This window comes from Homo sapiens, chromosome 3, assembly GCF_000001405.40.
Source record: "Homo sapiens chromosome 3, GRCh38.p14 Primary Assembly".
Taxonomy (NCBI): Eukaryota; Metazoa; Chordata; class Mammalia; order Primates; family Hominidae; genus Homo; species Homo sapiens.
The window spans coordinates 48,636,435-48,662,890 of record NC_000003.12 but is presented as its reverse complement, the minus strand read 5'-3'; the positions used below and the strand labels follow the sequence as shown (position 1 = coordinate 48,662,890).

At 59.9% G+C, this 26,456-nt stretch overlaps 1 protein-coding gene and 1 non-coding gene across 2 annotated transcripts, besides 5 other annotated features; both read left to right on the top strand.

Moving 5' to 3' along the window:
- Nucleotides 5–26,428, top strand: CELSR3 (cadherin EGF LAG seven-pass G-type receptor 3). Its single transcript, NM_001407.3, has 35 exons — nucleotides 5–4,004; nucleotides 5,543–6,193; nucleotides 6,526–6,751; nucleotides 7,040–7,155; nucleotides 7,497–7,585; nucleotides 7,690–7,847; nucleotides 8,439–8,602; nucleotides 8,888–9,013; nucleotides 9,103–9,272; nucleotides 9,704–9,889; nucleotides 10,338–10,454; nucleotides 10,843–11,014; nucleotides 11,173–11,314; nucleotides 11,412–11,532; nucleotides 11,816–11,999; nucleotides 12,310–12,411; nucleotides 13,676–13,770; nucleotides 13,963–14,172; nucleotides 14,430–14,625; nucleotides 14,895–15,050; nucleotides 15,963–16,128; nucleotides 16,634–16,801; nucleotides 17,023–17,149; nucleotides 17,242–17,448; nucleotides 17,682–17,856; nucleotides 18,063–18,175; nucleotides 18,596–18,675; nucleotides 19,214–19,337; nucleotides 19,808–19,924; nucleotides 20,007–20,155; nucleotides 20,424–20,533; nucleotides 20,882–21,040; nucleotides 21,367–21,567; nucleotides 22,332–23,217; nucleotides 24,659–26,428. Exons 1-35 carry the CDS (start codon nucleotides 257–259, stop codon nucleotides 24,684–24,686), a joined length of 9,939 nt encoding a protein of 3,312 aa, NP_001398.2. The 5' UTR covers nucleotides 5–256; the 3' UTR covers nucleotides 24,687–26,428.
- Nucleotides 1,111–1,695: an enhancer, noted in NCBI's record as "H3K27ac-H3K4me1 hESC enhancer chr3:48698629-48699213 (GRCh37/hg19 assembly coordinates)". NCBI's record gives its function as "activates a minimal SCP1, AML or CMV promoter by ChIP-STARR-seq in primed H9 embryonic stem cells {active_cell/tissue: H9 hESC(primed)}" and the evidence as "EXISTENCE:reporter gene assay evidence [ECO:0000049][PMID:30033119]".
- Nucleotides 1,696–2,282: an enhancer, noted in NCBI's record as "H3K27ac-H3K4me1 hESC enhancer chr3:48698042-48698628 (GRCh37/hg19 assembly coordinates)". NCBI's record gives its function as "activates a minimal SCP1, AML or CMV promoter by ChIP-STARR-seq in naive H9 embryonic stem cells {active_cell/tissue: H9 hESC(naive)}" and the evidence as "EXISTENCE:reporter gene assay evidence [ECO:0000049][PMID:30033119]".
- Nucleotides 5,284–5,979: an enhancer, noted in NCBI's record as "H3K27ac-H3K4me1 hESC enhancer chr3:48694345-48695040 (GRCh37/hg19 assembly coordinates)". NCBI's record gives its function as "activates a minimal SCP1, AML or CMV promoter by ChIP-STARR-seq in naive H9 embryonic stem cells {active_cell/tissue: H9 hESC(naive)}" and the evidence as "EXISTENCE:reporter gene assay evidence [ECO:0000049][PMID:30033119]".
- Nucleotides 5,980–6,677: an enhancer, noted in NCBI's record as "H3K27ac-H3K4me1 hESC enhancer chr3:48693647-48694344 (GRCh37/hg19 assembly coordinates)". NCBI's record gives its function as "activates a minimal SCP1, AML or CMV promoter by ChIP-STARR-seq in naive and primed H9 embryonic stem cells {active_cell/tissue: H9 hESC(naive and primed)}" and the evidence as "EXISTENCE:reporter gene assay evidence [ECO:0000049][PMID:30033119]".
- Nucleotides 6,363–6,592: a silencer, noted in NCBI's record as "silent region_14337". NCBI's record gives its function as "represses an Ori minimal core promoter by ATAC-STARR-seq in GM12878 lymphoblastoid cells {active_cell/tissue: GM12878}" and the evidence as "EXISTENCE:reporter gene assay evidence [ECO:0000049][PMID:35858748]".
- Nucleotides 18,611–18,697, top strand: MIR4793 (microRNA 4793). The gene has a single exon (NR_039956.1). It is a non-coding gene; the product is annotated as a microRNA 4793 (primary transcript).

Genomic DNA, 26,456 nt, shown 5'->3' with positions numbered 1-26,456 from the left:
CCATGTTGGAGCGGCGGGAGGCGGCAGCAGCGTCGGGGATGCTGTGGTGGGGGCGGAAAAAGCCAGGGCCGCACGCCGGAGGGGCTCCGGCCGCGGAGTAGATGGTGCCCAGAGGGCGGCGGGGGTGCGGAGAGACAGGCGGAGGGGCGGGGGCCCGGGGCGGCGGCAGGGGCCCGGGAGGGGGCCCGAGCGGCGGGGCCAGCCCAAGGCCCGGACCGGGGCGGGGGGCGGTGGAGGCCGTGCAGGGAGGCGGGGGATGATGGCGAGGCGGCCGCCGTGGCGGGGCCTCGGGGGACGGTCGACCCCCATACTCCTGCTCCTTCTCCTCTCTTTGTTCCCCCTCAGCCAGGAGGAGCTGGGGGGCGGTGGGCACCAGGGCTGGGACCCAGGCTTAGCTGCCACTACGGGGCCAAGGGCGCATATCGGTGGCGGAGCCTTAGCTCTTTGTCCGGAGTCTTCCGGGGTCCGGGAGGATGGGGGGCCTGGCCTGGGGGTCAGGGAGCCTATCTTCGTGGGGCTCCGAGGGAGAAGGCAAAGCGCCCGGAATAGTCGAGGGCCCCCTGAGCAGCCGAATGAGGAGCTGGGGATTGAACACGGCGTCCAGCCATTGGGCAGCCGCGAACGAGAGACAGGACAGGGACCAGGGTCTGTGTTATACTGGCGCCCAGAGGTCTCCTCTTGCGGGCGGACAGGACCTTTGCAAAGAGGTAGTCTGTCACCAGGGGCTCTGTCCTCAGGGGTCCCGGGCTCGGGGAACAGCTCGCCCCTCCCTTCAGACTTTTTGATTCGGCACCACGGTCCCAAGCCGGTGTCCTCCCAGCGGAACGCTGGGACAGGCTCCCGCAAAAGAGTGGGCACCGCGCGCTGCTGTGGGGAATTATGGGCAACAGGGAGCAAGGGTCAGGGCGAGAGAGCCACGACATCCGGAGCAGAAAGGACAGCCCCCCGGCGGAACTGTCTTCCAGGGGCCTCGGGATCTGGCCCCGAGCTGGATTCAGCACCACGCACGGCGAGGACAGCTCCTGCATCAGGTTCAGCACCCCGCGAGTCTCGGACAGCTCCCGAGCCGGCGCCCAAGCGCATGCGCTCCCGGGGTCTCTTCCGCTGCCGCTTCCTCCCGCAGCGCCCCGGGCCGCGTCCCCCGGGACTCCCGGCCCGTCCTGAAGCCAGGAAAGTAACCTCGGCGAACCGGGCACGCTTTCGTCGCGCCGCAAACCGCCACCCGCAGTTTCCGCAGTACAACTACCAGACGCTGGTGCCGGAGAATGAGGCAGCAGGCACCGCGGTGCTACGCGTGGTTGCTCAGGACCCGGACGCCGGCGAGGCCGGGCGCCTAGTCTACTCGCTGGCGGCACTCATGAACAGCCGCTCGCTGGAGCTGTTCAGCATCGACCCGCAGAGCGGCCTTATCCGTACGGCGGCAGCTCTGGACCGCGAGAGCATGGAGCGTCACTACCTGCGTGTGACCGCGCAGGACCACGGGTCGCCGCGCCTCTCGGCCACCACGATGGTGGCCGTGACAGTAGCCGACCGCAACGACCACTCGCCGGTTTTTGAGCAAGCGCAGTACCGGGAGACCCTTCGCGAGAATGTGGAGGAGGGCTACCCTATCCTGCAGCTGCGTGCCACTGACGGCGACGCGCCCCCCAACGCCAACCTGCGCTACCGCTTCGTGGGGCCGCCAGCTGCGCGCGCTGCAGCTGCCGCCGCCTTCGAGATTGATCCACGCTCCGGCCTCATCAGCACCAGCGGCCGAGTGGACCGCGAGCACATGGAAAGCTATGAGCTGGTGGTGGAAGCCAGCGACCAGGGCCAGGAACCCGGGCCGCGCTCGGCCACTGTGCGCGTACACATAACTGTGCTAGACGAGAACGACAATGCTCCTCAGTTCAGCGAGAAGCGCTACGTGGCGCAGGTGCGCGAGGATGTGCGCCCCCACACAGTCGTGCTGCGCGTCACGGCCACTGACCGGGACAAGGACGCCAACGGATTGGTGCACTACAACATCATCAGTGGCAATAGCCGTGGACACTTTGCCATCGACAGCCTCACTGGCGAGATCCAGGTGGTGGCACCTCTGGACTTCGAGGCAGAGAGAGAGTATGCCTTGCGCATCAGGGCGCAGGATGCTGGCCGGCCACCGCTGTCCAACAACACGGGCCTGGCCAGCATCCAGGTGGTGGACATCAATGACCACATTCCTATTTTTGTCAGCACGCCCTTCCAAGTTTCTGTCTTGGAAAATGCTCCCTTGGGTCACTCAGTCATCCACATTCAGGCAGTCGATGCAGACCATGGGGAGAATGCCAGATTGGAGTACTCCCTAACTGGTGTGGCACCTGATACTCCTTTTGTGATAAACAGCGCCACTGGCTGGGTCTCTGTGAGTGGTCCCCTGGACCGTGAGTCTGTGGAGCATTACTTCTTTGGTGTGGAGGCTCGAGACCATGGCTCACCCCCACTCTCTGCCTCAGCCAGTGTCACCGTGACTGTGCTGGACGTTAATGACAATCGGCCTGAGTTCACAATGAAGGAGTACCACCTACGACTGAATGAGGATGCAGCTGTGGGCACCAGTGTGGTCAGCGTGACCGCAGTAGACCGTGATGCCAACAGTGCCATCAGCTACCAGATCACAGGCGGCAACACCCGGAATCGCTTTGCCATCAGCACCCAGGGGGGTGTGGGTCTGGTGACTCTGGCTCTGCCACTGGACTACAAGCAGGAACGCTACTTCAAGCTGGTACTAACTGCATCTGACCGTGCCCTTCATGATCACTGCTATGTGCACATCAACATCACAGATGCCAACACTCATCGGCCGGTCTTTCAAAGTGCCCACTACTCAGTGAGTGTGAATGAAGATCGGCCAATGGGTAGCACCATAGTGGTCATCAGTGCCTCTGATGATGACGTGGGTGAGAATGCTCGTATCACCTATCTCCTGGAGGACAACCTGCCCCAGTTCCGCATTGATGCAGACTCAGGAGCCATTACATTACAGGCCCCATTAGACTATGAGGACCAGGTGACCTACACCCTGGCTATCACAGCTCGGGACAATGGCATCCCACAGAAGGCAGACACTACTTATGTGGAGGTGATGGTCAATGACGTGAATGACAATGCTCCACAATTTGTGGCCTCCCACTATACAGGGCTGGTCTCTGAGGATGCCCCACCTTTCACCAGTGTCCTGCAGATCTCAGCCACTGACCGGGATGCTCATGCCAATGGCCGGGTCCAGTACACTTTCCAGAATGGTGAAGATGGGGATGGAGATTTTACCATTGAGCCCACCTCTGGAATTGTCCGTACAGTAAGGCGGCTAGACCGGGAGGCAGTATCAGTGTATGAGTTGACTGCCTACGCAGTGGACAGAGGTGTGCCCCCACTCCGGACTCCAGTCAGTATCCAGGTGATGGTGCAGGATGTGAACGACAATGCACCTGTCTTCCCAGCTGAGGAGTTTGAGGTGCGGGTGAAAGAGAATAGCATTGTGGGCTCAGTGGTGGCCCAGATCACTGCAGTGGACCCTGACGAAGGCCCCAATGCCCATATAATGTACCAGATCGTGGAGGGGAACATCCCTGAGCTGTTCCAAATGGACATCTTCTCTGGAGAACTGACGGCACTCATTGACCTAGACTATGAGGCTCGCCAAGAATATGTGATTGTGGTGCAGGCCACATCTGCTCCTTTGGTCAGCCGGGCCACTGTGCACGTCCGCCTGGTTGACCAGAATGACAACAGCCCTGTGCTCAACAACTTCCAGATCCTCTTCAACAACTATGTATCCAACCGTTCAGACACCTTCCCGTCGGGCATTATTGGGCGCATCCCAGCTTATGACCCCGATGTCTCCGACCACCTCTTCTACTCCTTTGAGCGTGGCAATGAGCTGCAGCTGCTGGTAGTCAACCAGACCAGTGGGGAGCTGCGACTCAGCCGAAAGCTAGACAATAACCGCCCACTGGTGGCCTCCATGTTGGTGACTGTCACAGGTGAGGGGCAGGGGGCAGGCAAGTGACCCAGTGACACCAACCTGTTGGGCCTCAGGGACTCCACAGGGCACCTCAAACCAAAGAGGGATTTCTAAGCCTTCCAAGAACCCCTTAAGGGTAGGGTTCCTGCACCCTACAAGATCTGCCACAGACCTCACAAGGACTCTGCTTAGGTTCCTGGATAATCTCCACAGAATCCCAGTGATTCCAAGGCATCTAGCAGACCCCATAAAGCCTGTAAAGAACTGTCTGCTACCTAGGGATATCTCCCCTCCTGATAAAAGGTCAGAGGTCCTGGGGTAATCCTCTGGAGGTCCTAGGCAAAGCCAGTATGGGCCAGTCAGTCCACACTATGCCCATGTTCAGACGAAGGGTTACTTTGGGTCCAGTCTGACGCTTACCCTATCTGTGCAGGAAATGACCAATACTTGAGTGGTCAGGAACAGCAGCTTACTATGGAAGCTTCAGGTGGACAGTGGCTTCGTAGGGCCTGAGACCCTGACCTTTGGGAAAATGTCCAGAGGTCCACTTGCCTCTTTCCTGCCCCATCTGCTCCAGTCTTTCAGAAACCCCTCCATAATAGGAGAGTGCAGGTGGGAGAGGCTCTTGAAGTTCTGCCTACTGGAGGCTGCAGAGGTTGGGAAATAGGCTTCACTGGTGCTCATTCCTCAGTTCTGGAGCAGGGACTCCTGGCACTGCCTGAGAAGGCACAACCTTCATTTATCCCTCAACTCACTCAACAGTCTATCCTTATTGACCACCCAGTATGTGCTAGGGTGTGGGGACAAGACGAACAAGGCAGCTAAGCACCTCACCTTCATCTCTGGGGTGGTCACTGTGAAACCACAGGACCCAGGTCTGGAGTGGCGAGCAGGCTGCTAACTCAAGAATGCTGGTGTGTGTGTGTGTGTGTGTATGTCAGGGTTCAAGACCCCCCTGGAGCTTGATAACCCAGGATTCTGGAGGATGGCATTGAGTCTTCACTGGGCCAGGGCCCCTTCTAGTGTCATGGAAGAGCAATTTGCTGACCAAAAATAGGAGATAGGTGATCCCTGATCTGGAACCCTTCTTTTCTGGAGGGGGATGTTTTGCTGGTTCTGCTATGCTGGAGGAGGGGAGAAGGGAAAGGTGGCTGGGAATGAGTGGCCAGTGGCCCTAGCTCCTCTCTGTGTCCTGAGTTGGGGTGGCCTGCTGACCATGATAACTTGGGGAAGTGTGGGTTACTGAGTACTTAGGGTACTTGAGTGCTGTTGCGGGAGTGACTTGCTAACCCATGGGCACTGTGTGGGGTTGCTTGATCCTTGGCCCAGACCCCTCCGTGTATTGGGGATTGGGGGAGGAAGCAGCAGCTTTTTGACACCTTGATGCTGGGGGAGCTGGTGGTCACTAGCCCCAGACTCCCTTGTGTCCTGGTGGGGTCAGCCTGCTGACTTAGAGGTTCTGGGGGCCTAGGCTATCGCTGGCCCCAGCCCTCTTGTGTCCCAGGGAGGGGTGGCCACTGTCCCCAGGATGACCACTGCCCCTGCCCCCGCCTGCAGATGGCCTGCACAGCGTGACGGCGCAGTGTGTGCTGCGCGTGGTCATCATCACGGAGGAGTTGCTGGCCAACAGCCTGACCGTGCGCCTTGAGAACATGTGGCAGGAGCGCTTCCTGTCACCGCTGCTGGGCCGCTTCCTCGAGGGCGTGGCTGCGGTGCTCGCTACGCCCGCTGAGGACGTCTTCATCTTCAACATCCAGAACGACACAGACGTAGGGGGCACCGTGCTCAATGTGAGTTTCTCGGCGCTAGCTCCACGTGGGGCCGGGGCGGGCGCTGCAGGGCCCTGGTTCAGCTCCGAGGAGCTGCAGGAGCAGTTGTACGTGCGCCGGGCGGCGCTGGCGGCTCGCTCCCTGCTCGACGTACTGCCCTTCGACGACAACGTGTGCCTGCGAGAGCCCTGTGAGAACTACATGAAATGCGTGTCCGTGCTCCGCTTTGACTCGTCCGCGCCCTTCCTGGCCTCGGCCTCCACGCTGTTCCGACCCATCCAGCCCATCGCTGGCCTGCGCTGCCGCTGCCCGCCCGGATTCACGGGAGACTTTTGCGAGACCGAGCTCGACCTCTGCTACTCCAACCCATGTCGCAACGGCGGAGCCTGCGCGCGGCGCGAGGGAGGCTACACGTGCGTCTGCCGCCCGCGCTTCACCGGTGAGCAGGGCGCCGGGCCAGAGCTGGGGGAAGCACGGGCCAAGGCTGGGGGCGGGACCACAATGCGAGTGAGTACTGGGAGTCACTTCTGAGGCCACGGCCTGGTATGGACGCGCTTAGGCCAGAAGCCGTAGAGCGTGGCCGGAAGGGGCCGCCGCCGAGGCAGCGATGAGACTGGGGAGGGGGCGGGGCCAGACGGAAGGGGCGTGTCCACCGAAGAGGGCGACCTTTCGGGGGTCTTGGCACCCGGCCTCTGGGCGCGCGGTCTTTGAAGGGGCCGGAGCAGGGGCGGGCGTGGGCGTGACCGCCTCTGACCGCGGCTTGGCCCCCAGGAGAGGACTGCGAGCTGGACACCGAGGCCGGCCGCTGCGTGCCGGGCGTCTGCCGCAACGGGGGCACCTGCACCGACGCGCCCAACGGCGGCTTTCGCTGCCAGTGCCCGGCAGGCGGCGCCTTCGAGGGCCCGCGCTGCGAGGTGGCTGCGCGCTCCTTCCCGCCCAGTTCGTTCGTCATGTTTCGCGGCCTGCGGCAGCGATTCCACCTTACGCTGTCCCTCTCGTAGGTGCCCGCCCCGTGTCTGAGCGCCTCCCCGCCGCCCCCACCTACCCGCCCTGACTCAGATTCCTGACTGCCCCGTCCTGGCATCCCCATGAGACACCGCCCCTCCCCTGACGCCCCGCCCGGGGTCTCCTGACCTCGCTGCACCCGCGTCCCCCCGGTCGGTCCCGCCGTCCCTCGTCGCTTCCTCTCTCGCCCCAGCCCCTTCTCCTCGCAGGGATGGTGGGTGTGAAGTGGTACCCTGCTCCTGACGCTCCCACCCCCGCAACCCCCTCCCACCCCGCCCAGGTTCGCGACAGTGCAGCAGAGCGGGCTGCTCTTCTACAACGGGCGCCTGAACGAGAAGCACGACTTCCTGGCCCTGGAACTCGTGGCTGGCCAAGTGCGGCTCACATATTCCACGGGTGGGTGCCCCGGATGTGACGGCGAAAGGGTGCGTGTGTGCTGGAGGACGCAGGGCCCAAGTCCCCTCAGGTTTGCTTCACTGTGCACCTGAGCACACACTCCACGCCATGCAAGCCCTGAAGACCTAGCTCCTTGGCCATTCCCTGTGGGAAGGTCCCTCCCTCCAAGAAGTCTGTTTCTCCTGTCTGTTCAAAGGCACTCTGAGCCAGCCATTGTGGTCACCAGTGGGGGGACTGATCTGATGCATCCAGGGTGGCCCTGGGAATGGTTGTGCTTATATGACGGGTGGGATGGGGCGACTCCGCTGCTCCTGATGATTCCACATGCATCTCCCCTCCAGGTGAATCCAACACCGTGGTCAGCCCCACAGTTCCAGGGGGCTTGAGTGACGGGCAATGGCATACAGTGCATCTGAGATACTACAACAAGGTGGGGGCCATCCCTGGCATCGGGTATGAGGGGAGTTGGGATGCTGACTTCTGCTCCTCAGGGGTTACTGGGGGCACTGTTGACTGGTGTGCCTGCGTCTTCAGCCCCGGACAGATGCCCTAGGGGGTGCACAGGGCCCCTCCAAGGACAAGGTGGCTGTGCTAAGCGTGGATGATTGTGATGTGGCCGTGGCTCTGCAGTTTGGTGCTGAGATTGGCAACTACTCATGCGCGGCTGCTGGTGTGCAAACAAGCTCCAAGAAGTGAGGCCCCTGCCCCCTAGTCCCCTTGTCCCCTGCCTACCAAAGCCCACTCCAACCCTTCACATCCCATTCCTCATCCCATCCTGCCAAACTCTCCCATCTTTCCCCCAAACCACCAAGATTCCCCTCTCCTCTCAAAGACCCTGAAAGCCTACTCACCCTAGCCCCCAATCCTGTATTCCACCCCATACTCCCTCCTCCCACACACAGTCCCCAGGCAGTCCTCCAAAGCCTCCACCTCCCCACCCCAGTCTCACTAATGTCCCACATCCCCTCCGAGTCCCTTCATCTCATGTCCAGTCCCCCAGAGTCTTCACGTCTCCATCCCCTCCCCAGCCAGCCAGATGCCTCATTCTTTCATCATAGCTCTCAACCCCCATTCACCTACCTTTCCCCAGACCATCGGCCCATCACGGGTGCCCCTTTGCACCCCAACTGAAGTAAGATCCTAACTCCTTCCACAGCTCGGCCTTATTTTCCTCCCTCAATCACCCTACCCTCTGGGTCCTACCCCCCTGCTTCCTGTGGCCCCCCAGGAGCAACTCTACTCTGGCCCCAGTCCCACCAATGACCCAGACCCCTGATCCCCAGGTCCCTGGACCTGACGGGCCCTCTTCTTCTGGGAGGTGTCCCCAACCTCCCCGAGAACTTCCCCGTATCCCATAAGGACTTCATCGGCTGTATGCGGGACCTGCACATTGATGGCCGCCGAGTGGACATGGCGGCTTTTGTCGCAAATAATGGCACCATGGCAGGTAGGCCTGAAGCTTCCACCAGCCTAGCCCATGGCCCTGTCCCCATCATAGGGAGGAAGTGGAGGACTCCATACCTGACTTCAAGCCAGTCTCCTTTGGTGGCAAGCACCATGCTACAGCCCAGATTTTAGGGCCTGACTCTTACCAACCCCACTCATCGAAAGAAAATGGGAAATGGGGCTGAGATCTTGGTCTCTTTCAGCCCCTCTGGACACTAAAGTCCTGTCCAGCACTTGTGCCCCCCAACCCTTGTTCTCATGTCCGCCATGTGCTTTCCTCTCCCAGGCTGCCAAGCCAAGCTACACTTTTGTGACTCAGGCCCCTGCAAGAACAGTGGCTTCTGCTCGGAGCGCTGGGGCAGCTTCAGCTGCGACTGCCCTGTGGGCTTCGGCGGCAAAGACTGTCAGCTTAGTAAGTGGGCAGCATGGGGCAGAGGGGCCTGCAGGGTCAGATCTGTTCCTGGGGCAGGGGCTGTAACCCTGTTTCTCTTATCCACTCAGCTATGGCCCATCCCCACCATTTCCGTGGCAACGGCACACTGAGCTGGAACTTTGGAAGTGACATGGCTGTGTCTGTGCCATGGTACCTGGGGCTGGCATTTCGGACACGGGCAACGCAGGGGGTCCTGATGCAAGTGCAGGCTGGGCCACACAGCACGCTCCTTTGCCAGGTGTGTCCACCCTGCTCACCCCTATACCCTCAGTTCTCAGTCTCTTAGGCCGCCACTGACATTCTTGTGGGTTCAGGTTGGTCACACAGCATACTTTTCTGCCAGGTGTCCCAACCACACTTGACCCTGCTCTGGACCCTAGCCCTTGATTCTCTTTCCATCATTATATCCTCTGCAGGTGCAGGGCTCCAGCATAGCTCTCTCTTATGCAAGCTGCACCAACCCACCCACAACACCTGGTCCTATCCTCTGCCCCCTGACCCCATATCAGCAACATGATGTCCCCTGGCACAGTGCCCTTTGTGCCAGGTATAACCTTGACCCCACTGTTCTGACCTCTGATATTCCTGACCTCTGAGCCCTCTGATCTCACCTCCAAGTCCCAGCCCACATGGGGCTCTAACCCCAGGGCTATGCATCTCTGCCCACAGCTAGATCGGGGGTTACTGTCTGTGACAGTGACCAGGGGCTCGGGCCGTGCTTCCCATCTCCTTCTGGACCAGGTGACTGTCAGTGATGGCCGGTGGCACGATCTGCGGCTGGAGTTGCAGGAGGAACCAGGTGGCCGGCGGGGCCACCATGTCCTTATGGTCTCACTGGACTTTAGCCTCTTCCAGGTCTGGCCTCTGACCCCGGGGTAGTCTGTTCTCAGCCTTCCAACCAGATCCGCCTTATTTGACCCCACCTCTAGTCCAGCTCCTCTCAGTTCCCTCCACTGCACTGAGTCTGATGTTCTACCCCTAGTTCCCCACCATATATCCTTGCACTGAGCCCACCCACCAGCCAAGTTGGTCCACTCTCAAGCCCTCTTTGTGCCAGATTTGGGGCCTGGTCTTGGGGAACCTCTGTAGCCAGCACTTTGCCTGATTCCTAGAAGCCCCTTCTAGTCTCTGCCCCAGTCTCTACCCACCCCCGGTCAAAATCAAGCAATATTAAGGTCTACTGTGGGTCCAGGAGGGAGGGGGCAGCCTAGAAGGGCTAGAAGAAGGCCAAGACTGACTCTGGGCTATGACAGGGGTTCATCAGGCCCCTCTCCCTCAGTGCTGACTGCCCCACTTCCTCCAGGACACCATGGCGGTGGGGAGTGAGCTGCAGGGCCTGAAGGTAAAGCAGCTCCACGTGGGAGGCCTGCCCCCCGGCAGTGCAGAGGAGGCTCCTCAGGGTCTGGTTGGCTGCATCCAGGTGGGGGTCAGCATGGGAATGTGATATGGGGCATTAGGGTCAGGGGTCAGAAGTCAGGGGCTCCTTGGGACCTGAAAGGCAGTATTCAAGTGGGGGTTGGTGCGAGGGGGTGAATGACCCAGAGTTGAGAGCTAGGTCAAGCCTTTCTGTGGCATTGGAGGTGGGAGTCTAGCTTGGATTATCAAGGGCCTTTAGGAATCTGTGTCAGAAACAGCACAATTAGGGTCCCACAGGGGTACCAAATTGGGGATATTTTTGAGGCCTGGGTTTTTTGAGGGTATCAGAAGACTGCATGTCAAGGATCATCAGACCGGGTGGCTGGCTCTGCAGTACTTGAGGCTGAGGTGCCTTAACATGGTCTCACCCCTTGCTGGCTGTGTGTCCACAGGGGGTGTGGCTCGGCTCCACACCCTCTGGCTCCCCGGCCCTGCTACCCCCCAGCCACCGAGTGAATGCGGAGCCTGGCTGTGTTGTGACCAACGCCTGTGCCTCTGGGCCCTGCCCACCTCACGCAGACTGCCGGGACCTCTGGCAGACCTTTTCTTGCACCTGCCAGCCAGGTGAGCCTTGAGAGGGTTGGGGGAAGGGTGACCTGGGCAGGCGTTAGGGGCCCATGATGAAGACTGGGGAACCTGAAGGAGGCAGGGACTCGGGACGGGTGCCTGCTTCCTTCCATGCTCTGCGACCAGGATCCTGAGCTTTCTGACCCAATCTGCAGGTTACTACGGCCCAGGCTGTGTGGATGCCTGCCTCCTGAACCCCTGTCAGAACCAGGGATCATGCCGGCACCTGCCAGGAGCCCCCCATGGCTATACCTGTGACTGTGTGGGTGGCTATTTCGGGCACCACTGTGAGCACAGGTAAGAGGCTGGGGCTGAGGCGATGGGGAGACCTGGCAGGGACAGGGAGGGTCACTGGGATACCGTGGAGGCATCTTACCTGGCTCTGCACCCCCAGGATGGACCAGCAGTGCCCACGGGGCTGGTGGGGGAGCCCAACCTGTGGCCCCTGCAACTGTGATGTTCACAAAGGTTTTGATCCCAACTGCAACAAGACAAATGGGCAGTGTCACTGCAAGGTGCGCCTGGCCCCTGACCTTTTAACCCTTCCTTGGACGCAATCTGCAATTCCTGTCCAGCTTGCTGACCTCCGCCACCTGACTTGGGCCCTAACCTCTTGCCTGTGTCCTGTGACCAAGTTGCTGTCTCTCATCCTTTACCCGTGACCCCTCCCTTGGCTTCACGCATGACCCAGGTGTCCTCTGGCCCATGAGCACTGTTCTCTTGACCCTTTATCCTTGATTCCACTCATTCCCCAAGCCCTGACCTCTGACTTCAGGCCCCTGGCCCATCCTCAAACAGGAGTTCCACTACCGACCGCGGGGCAGTGACTCTTGCCTCCCATGTGACTGCTACCCTGTGGGCTCCACCTCGCGCTCATGTGCACCCCACAGCGGGCAGTGCCCCTGTCGCCCAGGAGCCCTTGGCCGCCAGTGCAACAGCTGTGACAGTCCCTTCGCAGAGGTGACAGCCAGCGGCTGCCGGGGTGAGCAGGCTCCACCCAGCTCCACCCATAGAGGGCTGGTTCCAGTGTGCCACCATCACGTGTCAGTGGCACACATGGCTCCTTGGGGACTCTGGAAGCTTCTCCTGAGGGAGACCACTTACACCCAGGGAACCCTACCTTTGCCCCAAGTACTTTGCTGACCTGTCACAGAATCTGACAGGTCAGCTCCTGAGAAGCCAGCAGGAGTGGCGGGCAGTGGGCCTTGTGGGGGGTGGTGGAGGGGCAGTGGGTGTGGCTGTCAACTGCCCTGTACCCTGACTGCCTGGCTCAGCACCTCTTCTCTCTCTAGTGCTCTATGATGCCTGCCCTAAGTCCCTGAGATCTGGTGTGTGGTGGCCCCAGACAAAGTTTGGCGTCCTGGCCACAGTGCCCTGTCCCCGGGGGGCCCTGGGTGAGTATGTGGGGGGAAAGGACATCACTGAGGGTGGGGGTGGGCCTGTACTCTGACTGCTAGAGCCATGTCTTTTCCTAAATTGGGTGGCTTTGTTCCTGCAAAGAGGTGGAAGTGGGGTGGGAGTCCATGTGGGCCCCTCCCTACACCCTCATTGAGCCTCCATCTGTTTCTCTTGGCTTCTGGGCAGGATTGCGGGGTGCAGGTAAGGGGTACGTGTTTGCTCAGGTGCACTGCCCCCTCCCACTACCAGAGCTTTTGCAGACCCCTCCTGCTGCCTGAGGTCCCTGCAGACCCCTCCCTGCTGCCTAAAGTCCCTGCAGGCCCCTTCTGGCTATCTGAGTACCCCAGGGGCCCTTCTCTGATGCCTGAGATCCTCAGAGACCCCTCCCCATTGCCTGAGGACCCTGCTGACCCCTTCTCAGTTCCTGGGGTCCCCATAGAACTTTCCCCACTGCCTGAGGTCACGAAAGATCCCTCCTCAGTCTGAGGACCCTATAGCTCCTTCCTGCTGCTTGGGGGCCCCTCCCCACTGCCTGAGGTCCCCTCAGAACACTCCCTGCTGCTTGAGGTCTCTGCAGTGGCTGGACAGAGATTGTTTGTGTACGCATGCTCACGTGTGTATCTCTGTGCCTGTGCACGTGTCTGTGAACCTGTTGCGGGGAGGGGATTCTGTGATTAAGTTAGGCTCTCTCTTGTTGGTAGCTACAAACTTTTTTAAGATCCAAGTCAATTCTCATTCAACCTCCATCCCAACCCCAGAGACAAGGGAGAGAAATGACAGCAAAGTAACCACTGGGGCAGTTAAAACTTGTGTGAGAATCCTCCCACCTGACTTTCACTGGATGTTCCTAGAAGCCCTCTTCTGTGTTGGCATGTCTGTGTGTGTGCGAGAGAGCATTGTGTGTCTGCGTACTGGTCTGGTCCATACATCTGTGTGTAATTGGTGAGCATTGGTGTGTGTCTGTGTGAACCAGCACATCTATGAGCCAGTCCTGGCCCACGTGGGTGAGTGTGTGCAGCCCCACCCTTGTGCTTTGTGTGGTTGCTGGTTGAGAATGGTCTACAGCCCTCTCAGGAATTGCCTGACAAGCAGCTGGGGCCTACCTGGGCTTGGGCCGCTACCTCCAGGGGTGCAGCTATAGATGCTCATGACTCTGACTTCTGCCTCAGGGATTCCCCCAGCATAGGAGAGGGTGCTGCGGTTATCTCCTCAGCAAAGGTATCCAGGCCCCAGGCCTGACCAGGGGTTGCCTGCCTCCAGGTGCTGCTGTGCGGCTGTGTGATGAGGCCCAGGGTTGGCTGGAGCCCGACCTCTTCAACTGTACCTCCCCTGCCTTTCGAGAGCTCAGTCTGCTGGTGAGACTGCCCAGACCTTTTCCTGCAACCTAAGACCTTCCTTGGCCTGTGGTGGGCCCCAGATACCACACCCTAGCCCTTGAACTCCTGAGCCTTTCCTGGTTGCCCTTTAATCTGGCAAGGCTTTCTCCCTGTGAAGCTTTAGAGGAAGGCCTAAGGGACCACAGAGCAACCATCTCCTTGTCTTGGCAGCTGGATGGCCTAGAGCTGAACAAGACGGCACTGGATACCATGGAGGCCAAGAAGCTGGCTCAGCGGCTACGGGAGGTGACTGGCCACACTGACCACTATTTTAGCCAAGATGTTCGAGTCACTGCCCGCCTGCTGGCCCACCTGCTGGCCTTCGAGAGCCATCAGCAGGGCTTCGGGCTGACAGCCACACAGGATGCCCACTTCAATGAGGTGGGGCTGTGCCCTATGTTCTCAGTGCCTTGGCCCCCCAGCTCCCAGCCTCCTGCCCCTGGATCCCCAGCTCAGGCTCCTGCTGTTCTCTTGGGAAGTGAAGGTCCTGGGCTCTCCCTCTGTCCTTGTCCTCTCCAGCCCCGCCCCCTTGCCTGTTGGAGCCCCTCTGAGCACCTGTCCAGACCTCTCATGCCTGCCCTATCCCCTCATACATCCTCACCACCTGGCTGAACCCAATTCTATCTCTGTCTTCCCAGAATCTGCTGTGGGCCGGCTCTGCACTGCTTGCCCCAGAGACAGGGGACTTGTGGGCGGCGCTGGGGCAGCGGGCCCCTGGGGGCTCCCCAGGCAGCGCGGGACTGGTGAGGCACCTGGAGGAGTATGCAGCCACACTCGCAAGGAATATGGAACTCACATACCTGAATCCCATGGGGCTGGTGACGCCTAATATCAGTGCGTTGTGGGTGGGGTAGGGCGGGGCACAGCAGGGGGGCCATGAAAGGGCAGGTACCTGAAGGTCTGAGGGGCTGTGGCTATCAATGCCAATGTTAATGGCAGGAGACTCAGCCACCGCCCTCAGCGTTTTGTAGGGACAGGCTCCGAGCTGGTAGCACAGAAAACAGATTGTGGGACTCAGGTGCGGGATGCGAGTAAGAGGGAGTAGAACCCTTGGCAGGGGGAAGAGGTCCATGATGGGCCTCCCCTTTCTTTCTCCTGGGTAGTGCTCAGCATTGACCGCATGGAGCACCCCAGTTCTCCCCGGGGGGCCCGTCGCTACCCTCGCTACCATAGCAACCTCTTTCGAGGCCAGGATGCCTGGGATCCTCACACCCATGTGCTGCTGCCTTCCCAGTCCCCACGGCCATCCCCATCTGAAGGTGAGAGCCCCTAGGGGACCCCTGGGCCAAGTCCTGTCTCTCTGTCCCCCCAACCAGATACTATGTTGCCCTCCTGCCAATTTTCCCCTTTCTAGACCTCCCCAGTGTCAGACCCTCCCACATCTCCCCTCCACCCTCCCTCCCATATTTCCCCTCCACCCTCCCTCCCACATCTCCCCTCCACCCTCCCACATCTCCCCTCCACCCTCCCTCCCACATCTCCCCTCCACCCTCCCTCCCACATCTCCCCTCCACCCTCCACCCTCCCACATCTCCCCTCCACCCTCCCTCCCACATCTCCCCTCCACCCTCCCTCCCACATCTCCCCTCCACCCTCCCTCCCACATCTCCCCTCCACCCTCCACCCTCCCACATCTCCCCTCCACCCTCCACCCTCCCACATCTCCCCTCCACCCTCCCTCCCACATCTCCCTTCCACCCTCCCTCCCACATCTCCCTTCCACCCTCCACCCTCCCACATCTCCCCTCCACCCACCACCCTGCCTCTCACATCTCCCCTCCACCCTCCACCCTCCCTCCCACATCTCCCCTCCACCCTCCACCCTCGACCCTCCCACATCTCCCCTCCACCCTCCACCCTCCCACATCTCCCCTCCACCCTCCACCCTCCCACATCTCCCCTCCACCCTCCCACATCTCCCCTCCACCCTCCCTCCCACATCTCCCCTCCACTGTCCACCTTGCCACACCTTCACTTTGTCAGAGCCTCTCCCTCATCACAAATGACCCCTCCCAGGCCTTGACTGTTACTTTCTGGGTTCATGCTCCCTGCACTCCCCAATTCTGCTCCTGCAGGGAAGAGACCCCCATGCTTGATCGGGTTCAGAGCTGGGTTGGTGGGTGCTTTGGGTCAAAGGTCACTGACAGAAGCTCCTCCTTCTCTCCTGGCAGTTCTGCCCACAAGCAGCAGCATAGAAAACTCCACCACCTCAAGTGTGGTCCCCCCACCAGCCCCGCCAGAGCCAGAGCCTGGGATCTCCATTATCATTCTCCTCGTTTACCGCACCTTAGGGGGACTGCTCCCTGCCCAGTTCCAGGCAGAACGCCGAGGTGCCAGGTACTCAGGCCCCTCACCCCTGAGCTTCCTACGAACTTCTCAGCCTGGCAGCCCCTTTTTTGGTGGGTAGATGCGTAGGTTCACAACACACAGAGAGGAGCACAGCTCCAGGGAGCCCCATCCTTGCCGGGTTCTGTGTGAATCTTATTCTCTGGAGTTGTGCAGAGTGACAGAGCCACAGGCTGACAGACACAGAGCCACACACAGGAGGGATCCATGAGCCAGGTACAGACAGACCAAAGGGCTGACAGAGACAGACAAGGACAGGCTGACTGATGGGGGTAGGAGGGAGGGCAATCAGAGGCAAACAGTTGCAGGTCCCCTGGAGCTGCTCAGCCCCTCAGCAGCCCAGCAGAAGCTGGAGGGATTCTTAGAAACAGCTTCCACTCTGGGGACATCCCAGACCCTGGGTCAGCCCTGGCGAGTGGCATGAAGACGGGGTGAGGCAAGCAGGCTGAGCATGGGGAGGTCAGCAGTGCGTAAGCCCAGATGGGTGTCTCCCCAGGCTTCCTCAGAACCCCGTCATGAACTCCCCGGTGGTCAGCGTGGCTGTGTTCCACGGACGCAACTTCCTAAGGGGAATCCTGGAGTCCCCCATCAGCCTAGAGTTTCGCCTGCTACAGACAGCGAATCGGAGCAAGGCGATCTGTGTGCAGTGGGACCCACCTGGCCTGTGAGGACCCCCATTCTGGAAACCCTTGGTCCCGTTAGCCCTTGGGAGGCCAACTAATAGTCCCAGCCTTCCCCTGGGGCCCCCACTAGTGCTGTTGTGCAACCCGGACCATGAGGAATGCTGTACCCCAACTCCAGGCACCCTCAGCCCTTCCCATGATCTCTCACAAACCCCTGCCTGACACTGGGTCACAGTTGTGTCTAACTGCCCTGTGGCTGCAGGGCGGAGCAGCATGGTGTGTGGACAGCACGGGACTGCGAGCTGGTGCACAGGAATGGGTCCCACGCACGGTGTCGCTGCAGCCGGACAGGGACCTTTGGGGTCCTCATGGATGCCTCTCCCCGTGAGGTGGGGCTGTGTTCAGTGTCCCAAGGAAGTGGGGGGTCAAAGGGACACGGGGATTCTGCCCAACAACCCATCAACCATCCCTGTCTCTGTAGAGGCTGGAGGGCGACCTGGAGCTGCTGGCTGTGTTCACCCACGTGGTCGTGGCTGTGTCTGTGGCTGCGCTGGTGCTGACTGCAGCCATCCTGCTGAGCCTGCGCAGCCTCAAGTCCAATGTGCGTGGGATCCATGCCAATGTGGCAGCCGCCCTGGGGGTGGCAGAGCTCCTCTTCCTGCTGGGGATTCACAGGACCCACAATCAGGTGCAGGATCAGGGCCAGGGAACTTGTGTCCTGATGACCCTACTGGCCCAGGAGGCCTGGGGCCAAAACTCAGGGTCAGAGGTCAGGGATGCTCAGGTTGGGGCCAGGGTTTTCAGCAGGATGCTGGGGTAAGATATTGTGGTTTAGGGGTGAGAGGTGGGAAGCAGATGCCTGGGGTAGGGGTCAGAGGTGGGTGAGGCAGGAGAGGTCCTGACACGCCCCCCTGCCCTCAGCTGGTGTGCACTGCAGTCGCCATCCTCCTGCACTACTTCTTCCTCAGCACCTTCGCGTGGCTCTTCGTGCAGGGGCTGCACCTCTACCGCATGCAGGTTGAGCCACGCAACGTGGACCGCGGCGCCATGCGCTTCTACCATGCCCTGGGCTGGGGCGTCCCTGCTGTGCTGCTGGGTGAGGGCTGTGACCCCCAACCTCCAACCATCACATGGCCTGACCCCTGACCCTGTCCCCACTCCTGCTCATGACCCCCAACCTCAAACCCCAAGCCATCTATTCATGGGGTTGCTGCTCTGCCCTCACCCATGCTTTCTCCCATACATGGGCTGGTCAGCAGCTCTGGAACACACACCCTCAGTCCTACCCTTTCTCTTCCCAAGGCCTTGCTGTGGGCCTGGACCCTGAGGGCTATGGGAACCCTGACTTCTGCTGGATCTCAGTCCACGAGCCCCTCATCTGGAGCTTTGCTGGCCCTGTTGTCCTGGTCATAGTGGTGAGTGCCCTGGACTTGGTGCCCCCTCTGTACTTCCCTCCCTCATTGGGGGAGGAGGTGCAGTGGACTCAGCTGAGGGCGGTCAGGTGGCATTCTGCAGGCTTCCTGGGCTCGGCCTTCATTTTTTCTGTCCTCTGGTCAGTAGCCACCCCCATTCAACTGGCATGGAGATGGGGGCGCGGGGTCAGAGATTCAGTTGCCTGTCCCTGCCTCTGTCTCTGCTTCTCTCTCTCAGTCCCTCTCTGGTTCCCAATTTCTTTTTCTGTGATGCTAAGCTCCTTTGGTGTGTGTGTATATGTGTGAATTTCTCACTGGTTCTGCCTCTCTCCGTGAATCTTAGTCTCTCTCTGTCTCTCATTGCCTCTCTCTCTCTCTCTCTCTCTGCCCTGCCCGGCCCCACATGTCTGGCCGTGGGTCCAGATGAACGGGACCATGTTTCTCCTCGCTGCCCGCACATCCTGCTCCACAGGGCAGAGGGAGGCCAAGAAGACCTCTGCACTGTGAGTTGGCTGGCTGGAGGAAGGGGGCTTCTCAGGATGGCAGGTCCCTCCTGGGTGGGGTCTGGGGCCCCCAGATCTTCCCTGGTGCAGGTTGGGCTCCAAGTTCTAGATGAAGGAATGAAGTCACACCTGCCCTGACCTGTGGTCCCTCTCTGGCGCCCTCGCTATACTGTAGCCCCACATGTGCTTCTGCCCTGCTGTCTCTCCTTGTCCTCTGGGTCCCCCCAGAGTCTCCCATGGCCTGGGTGGCTCACTTTGCCCCCTGCCCTGTGTGTTCCCACCTGTCTTCCGTGCCCTCCCTTGTGGCTCCCATACCCCTGTGTTTTCCCCACGTGTCCTCATGGCTCTTTGACTGCTCTCCTGTTTCTTTGTGGGACCTCCCATCTCCCCCAGTGTCCTCCAGAGACCTCCATGTTCCCGTGTGAGTTCCTTTTTTTCACGTTTCGTGTGTGGCCCCTGTGTGTCCTCCCGTGTTCCCTGCATGAGTCCTACATGAGCCTTGCATGTCCTCCTGTGTCTTCCCATGTCCCCACAGCAGGACCCTTCGCAGCTCCTTCCTGCTGCTTCTGCTGGTCAGTGCCTCCTGGCTCTTTGGGCTCCTGGCAGTCAACCACAGCATCCTAGCCTTCCACTACCTCCATGCTGGACTCTGCGGCCTCCAGGTGACTCTGGTGCCCCTCCCTTGCCCCAGAACCAGGTGGGCCTTCAGTAGGCTGGGGCCATCCCTAGGCAGACGTTGACCCTAGGCCTGGAGCTGACTCTTACTGGATAACTTTGCCAGGCTGGGTACTACCCCAGACCAGACACTGGCCCTAGCTGCTGCCCCCAGGCCTGGAGCTGACTCTAACTTAGGCACTGATCCCAGACTGAGTGCTGATCTTGGATCGACCTTCACCAACACCAAGGCTCCCGACCCCTTGCTGATCCACACCGACCTTACAGACTCCAGCCACTCCTGCTGCTCCATCCTCTCCCCTGCTGACCTTCCCCAACTCCCTTACTGAGTCCCGCATGGGCTCCTCACTGACCCACACTAGCCTACAGTGACTGACCCCATTGCTGACCCACAGTGACTTATACTGGTCCCTGATTGATCCCTGCCGACTCTGCTTTGACCCTCGCTGACCCACAGGGCCTGGCGGTGCTGCTGCTCTTCTGTGTCCTAAATGCAGATGCTCGGGCTGCCTGGATGCCAGCCTGTCTGGGCAGGAAGGCAGCGCCTGAGGAGGCAAGGCCAGCACCTGGGCTGGTGAGTCGGGATGGGGGCCCTGAGAAGCCAGAGTTTTAGGCTGCTTCAGGGTTAGCTCACACTCTGTCCCTACCACCCCCAGGGACCTGGGGCCTACAACAACACGGCTCTCTTTGAGGAGAGTGGCCTCATCCGCATCACTCTGGGCGCCTCCACCGTCTCCTCTGTGAGCAGTGCCCGCTCCGGCCGGACCCAGGACCAGGACAGCCAGCGGGGCCGCAGCTACCTCAGGTGAGAGGAAGAGCCTCCTTGTGAGGGAACACTCAGCTTAGTCCAGCCCCACCTTACCAGGGCTTGGCTGACCAGGTCCTAGGGCGGGTGGCTCCACCCATCTTGGCCATCTGGGGCCCTGCTTCTGCCTCTGCCCTAAATGCTTCCCACCACACACACCCAGGGATGCCATTCCACCCGCAGCTGGCTGTGCACTCAAAGACACTCCAGCCTCCAAGGCACCCCATCACATCCCTCTTTCATGGTGGGGGGGCTCCTGCTTTTCCAGGGACAATGTCCTGGTTCGACATGGCTCAGCCGCTGACCACACTGACCACAGCCTCCAGGCTCATGCTGGCCCCACTGACCTGGACGTGGCCATGTTCCATCGAGATGCTGGTGGAGTTGGGGCCTGGGGCAGGGAGGAGGGAGGCAGAGGATCTCTCCCCATCCCCTTTTCTTCTACCCCATACTGGGAGCAGTGGCTGACTGGGGTGGGACGATCTCCCCCAGGGTCCCTGCCTCAGGAGGCACCTACCTCTCCAGCCCTGGTTCTCCCAGTCCACTCCTGATTCGTCCTTCCCTCTGATAAGTCCCAGCCCTTCTGCTGCTACCTCCACTTCAAGCCCCGGTTCCTGTCCCCAACCCTAACCCCCTTGCCGTACCCACCTCTAGACCCTCAACTCCAAATTCCCTTATCTCCAAGTCCCTTACCTCTGAAAGTACTTCTGACTTTCCCAACTCCAGGCGCAGACTCCGACTCTGACAGTGACCTGTCCTTGGAGGAGGAGAGGAGTCTCTCCATTCCATCTTCAGAAAGCGAGGACAATGGCCGGACGCGGGGGCGCTTCCAACGGCCACTCTGCCGAGCAGCCCAGAGTGAGAGGCTCCTCACCCACCCCAAAGGTGCCAGGCGCCCTCTGACCCCTTGGGTGACCAAGGGATGCCCCATTTGTTATCCCTCCAGCTCCCCATCTTTCCTGCGGTTGGGGTTCATCCTGGTCTTTCTGACCCCTCAGTCATCAGGTTCCCCAACTTTTAGTCTCTGTCCACCTCCAGTTAAGGGGAGGGAGCTCACCAGTCACCCCCACCCATTGATCTCTGAGGAGATACCCTCCTGTTCCCACCTCTGCTCAATGAGAACAGCCAGGGTTTCAAGGGTCATTAGGGTCAGGGGTCATGAGTCACTGGGATCAACCCAGAAGCTCCTGTAACCTGACCTGGCTCCACAGATGTGGATGGCAATGACCTCCTGTCCTACTGGCCAGCCCTGGGGGAGTGCGAGGCAGCCCCCTGTGCTCTGCAGACTTGGGGCTCTGAAAGGCGCCTGGGGCTGGACACCAGCAAGGATGCAGCTAACAACAACCAGCCAGACCCGGCCCTGACCAGTGGGGATGAGACTTCTCTGGGCCGGGCCCAGCGCCAGAGGAAAGGTACAGTCCCTGAGCCCTGGCCCACACCGCAGACACGCTGGGGGCTGCTCATGCCCTGAGCCAAGGGATTGCAGCTTCCTCATCCCAAACTGAGAGCTCTTCTTACTCTGACCTAGGGCGCTTCTGCTTCTCTAGCCTGCTTCACGGTCCTCAGGGACTGCTCCTGTCCTGACCTGGGAATTCTCTGTCCCCCTCTACCCTGGCCAGCACCACAGGGGGACCACAGGCGACCACTCCTGCCCCAGCCCATCTGTTTTTCAGAGACCCTAGGAGCTGCTTCCCCCTGCCCCCCACCCAGATCCCAGAGCCCGTGCTCTGATCTGGAAGATTTCTGCCCCCTACTCTGCTTTTATGGGGACCCGGAGAAGAGGTTTCTGCCCTCACCCTTGCATCACAGGGACCTGGGGACTGCTCCTGTCCAACCCGGGGGGTTCCTGCATTTCAGCCAGGCCTGCATTGTCAGGACCTGAGGGCTGCCCCTCTTCTGACCTCAGGGAGTTTGCCCCATCCCCTGCACCATGAGACCTGCCCGCCCTCCCCCTGCCCCGGGACCACAACTGGAAGATGACTGCCCTTCCACTCTGACCCCTGTCCTGCTGCCTCTCTGGGACCACCAGGGTTGCCTCTGCTGCTCCCCAAGGGGTTCCTGCTCCCATCCCTGTGTTGGAAGGATCCCAAGGGCTGCCACACCCCTAGACTCAGCAATTCCTGCCTGCCCTCCCCCTCCCACACAAACCCTGCCCCCCATTTTCTTCCTCTCACAGGCATCCTGAAGAACCGGTTGCAATACCCACTGGTGCCACAGACCCGAGGTGCCCCTGAGCTGTCCTGGTGCCGTGCAGCCACCTTGGGCCACCGTGCTGTGCCAGCTGCCTCTTACGGTCGCATCTATGCTGGCGGGGGCACGGGCAGCCTTTCACAGCCAGCCAGCCGCTACTCTTCTAGAGAACAGCTGGACCTGCTCCTCCGGCGGCAACTGAGCCGTGAGCGACTAGAGGAAGCCCCTGCCCCTGTTCTACGTCCCCTGAGCCGGCCAGGGTCCCAGGAATGCATGGATGCTGCACCAGGCCGACTGGAGCCCAAAGATCGGGGCAGCACCCTGCCACGGAGGCAGCCACCTCGGGACTACCCTGGCGCCATGGCTGGCCGCTTCGGGTCACGGGATGCGCTCGACTTAGGGGCACCTCGAGAGTGGTTGAGCACGCTGCCTCCGCCCCGCCGCACCCGGGACCTTGACCCACAGCCCCCACCTCTGCCCCTGTCTCCCCAGCGGCAACTCTCAAGGGACCCCCTCTTGCCATCCCGGCCGCTGGACTCTCTGTCTAGGAGCTCGAACTCTCGGGAGCAGCTGGACCAGGTGCCTAGCCGGCACCCCTCACGAGAAGCCCTTGGGCCACTCCCGCAGCTGCTCAGAGCTAGGGAGGACTCGGTCAGTGGCCCCAGCCATGGCCCCTCCACAGAACAGTTGGACATTCTTTCCTCCATCCTTGCCTCTTTCAACTCCTCGGCCCTCTCCTCTGTGCAATCTTCAAGCACACCCTTGGGCCCTCACACCACTGCCACACCTTCTGCCACAGCCTCTGTGCTTGGGCCCTCCACGCCACGTTCTGCCACGTCTCACAGCATCTCGGAGCTGTCGCCAGACTCAGAGTAAGTATGGTCCAGCCACCTGCTTGCACCCTCATCAGCTTAGGGCAACCTCCTGTGTGCCCTGCCCTGTGTTCTGCCACAGAAGGGGATGAGGGCTGGCAGACAGGTGTGGGCTACCCCAGGCTCAGCACAGCCAGAGGGCCACAGGCTGGGGACAGGAATCTGGCAAGAAATGGGGGTGTGACTAGCAGGGACTTGCTGGCTGTGTGACTGGAGCCAGCCAGCCTTCCCAGCACCTCCCAGGCTAAGGAGAAATAGGTGCCATCCGATGGGCTGAGCTAGCGAATGGGAGGGCAGGAGCTGAGGCCTAGAAGTGGGAGATGACCTGGAATATGCAAGGGGCAGGGAGGAGAGCAGGAGGCCTTGCTTGGGAAGGTTCGCCTAGGGGGTCATATAGGACAAGGAGAGGCTGGAAGTGGTGCCAGGATATACCAGGCTGAAGGGCTTGCTTTGTTGAGGATAAATCATTCATTCATCGATGTATTCAGTCAACATTGAGTTCCTCCTGTCTGTGGACACTTTGGGGTGGGGCTCACAGGAACTGAGTTGGAACCTGGTTCATCTCGGGTATGTGTGAAGCATCTGTGGGGAAGGGGATGGCGGACAGACCCAGGAAATAGCTGGATACACAGGAGTCCGAGAGGGACTGGTGGGAGTGGGGAGGAACCAGGAGCTTCCAGGTCTCTTGTAAGCCAAGAGGAGAGTTGAGTTTCAAGGAGGAGAAACAGCTGGGTCAGGCTCTGGGGGTTTGTGGGGTAAGAGATGGCTTGGGGAGGAAGGGGGCCCTAGGGGTGGGGCAGGGGATCGACAGAACTGAGCAGGACCCAGGGCAGAGAGAGGACAAAGGAAGGAGGAAAGAGCAGGGGTTTGGGGATCCTGGGGCTTGGGCACTGAGGGCTGCTGGGGGTGGGGACCAGAGGGAGCTAACCCACGGCCTGGGTCCCCCTGCAGTCTAGCTTTGGGGTCTGGCTGTTTGGGAGGTAGACTAGGGACTGAGCAGGGGTCCAGGCTCTGGAGTCGCACAGGTTTGAGTTTGAGCTCTGTGTCTTACCTTACTAGCTGCGTGACCTTAGGCAGAGGCAAGCTTTTCTGGGCCTCAGTTTCCTCATCTGTAAAGAAGTCTGTAGTAACAAACTCTTTGAGATGTGGAAATCTATGAGATAATATCTGTCAAGTGCTCAATATAGCATCTGTAAACAGTAGGTGCTCTTGAAGCACTTAGAGAAAACACCTGGGCAGCCAAGGAGCCTGGCTGAGTCTAGGGGCGCGGAATGGAGGACTCTGAGAACCCTGGAGTGGGCATGAAGGGGCTGGGGGCTAAGAGGCGAGAGCAGTGGTGGAGGCAAGGGAAGCAGCCAGGCCAAATGTGGTGGGGGAGTCCAGAGCCGCCTGACTCGGAGTCCTCTGGGCATCAACCTCTGATTTCCTCATGTGCCTCCAGAGTTCCCAGAAGTGAGGGTCACTCCTGAGGGGATGACGGCGTGGACGAGGAACAGCTGAGGGCGACAGAGGATCTAGGCTAACAGGAGAGACTCCAGGAGTGGGGGCAGATCCCAAGGCAGCCTCCTGCTCCCCAGTGGTGGGTGCCCCAGCTCTACCTGGTGTGGCAGGGCTGAGGCTCCATGTGCATCTGTGAGCATGCGTGTGACAGGTGCAGAGACGGGGGACTGGAGGGAGACTTTTATACGTTTTGTACCTTTGTAACCAGAGAGATGCTTATGTTATTTTTCAGCTTTTCTGTCTCCTGGGGGGTTTGAGGCTGGGCTGGGAGGGGGAGGGAGATAGAGGGAGAGATGCAGTTTGACCCCATTTGGGTCCTGAGCAAACCCTATGCTCATCTCTCTCTCCTTCCTGGGGTGGACTCAGATGGGTGGGACACATGCCTTCCTCCCCCTATTCCACCCCCAAGTTGATCTGAGTATCGTCAGGGGCCCAAAGTACAGAATTGTTCTTTGCTTTTTATTGAATGCTCCAAAGGCCAAACTTCTGGGGCTGGGGGTTGGTCTTGGAAACAGGGGTCCTCTGACTTCCTCATGGGGGCTTGCTCATACCGCCCCTCCTGGTGGATGTGTGTGTTTATTATGTGGAGTCCCTGCCACTTACTGCCTTATGACCTAGGACTGATGCTGTGGGGTGCTGGTGGAGCAGCTGATGTCGTGTTTACAGAGCAAGGCTTCCCTGTCTCCCACGGGGAGGGGCTCGGGCCTCTAGTCAGACATTCCTGCAGAGGGTCGGTGGAGGGGTCATTCACCTGCCCCTGCAGCAAGCAAAAGTTGTCTGTGGTGCCATTTGATTCCCTGACACTGCCCCCTGCTTGAATTGATTCCGAAGGGTAGGGTGGGAAGGTGAGCAAAGGGAGCAGAAACAAGGGAATTCAAGACCCAGAATGTAGGTGCCACTGCCTCCTATGTTTACAGGATCCTCCGTGGCCCTAGGCACCTGGGCTGCAGGAAGTGACTCCGTTCCACTCCTCCTTTATTCCCTTAAAAAGGGAAAAATGACTGTTACGACCCTGTTCACAAAACTCTTACTTTTGCTATTTTGTCTGCTGTCCAGAACTGAAGACTTTAAAATTTTGTTACTGTTTACAAGTCCAGATTCAAAAAATGTTTTTACTTTGTTTACAACTCAAAACTTTGAGTTTTACACTTTGTTTACAGTAGATAATTTTTTTTCCTTTGTTTCCAAGTGAAAGGTAGGGAAAGTGGGAGAGGGACTTGGAGGACCCACCTGTGAGGACCCTGACCTGGCCATCTTGAGGGGTTTTCTAACCCCCAGGTCTCCCAGGCCGAAGGTCAGCCTTGAGTCCCGTTTAACAGCAGATCCAGAAGACCTTGAGAGTAGGCGTCCTCTAACCACGGGGGAGAGTGGCTGTGCAGGGCTGGGGGGTGGTCTGTGCAGACACCTCCTCACCCACCACCCCATGCATACTCTTGGGAAGCAGCTTCCTGGGAGATTAGAAATTCTACTTCCCTGACTGGAGCTAAATCCCACCAGCCAGGACCCAAACTCTCCTTACCGAGAAGGACCCCAGCTCTTGAAGGGCTGAGTGGCCTGCTGGGGGTGGGAGGGTGTCTTTACTATGTCCTAGGTTTCGTAGATGCCCCTCTCTGGGGTTCCCCTCCTCCAGCCCAGCGGCCCTCTTTCCTGTCTGTGTAAATTGTTCCGTGAAGCCGCGCTCTGTTTTGGGAATAAACTTCTATAGAAAACAGTTGTTGCCTTTTCCTGTTGGGGGCTGG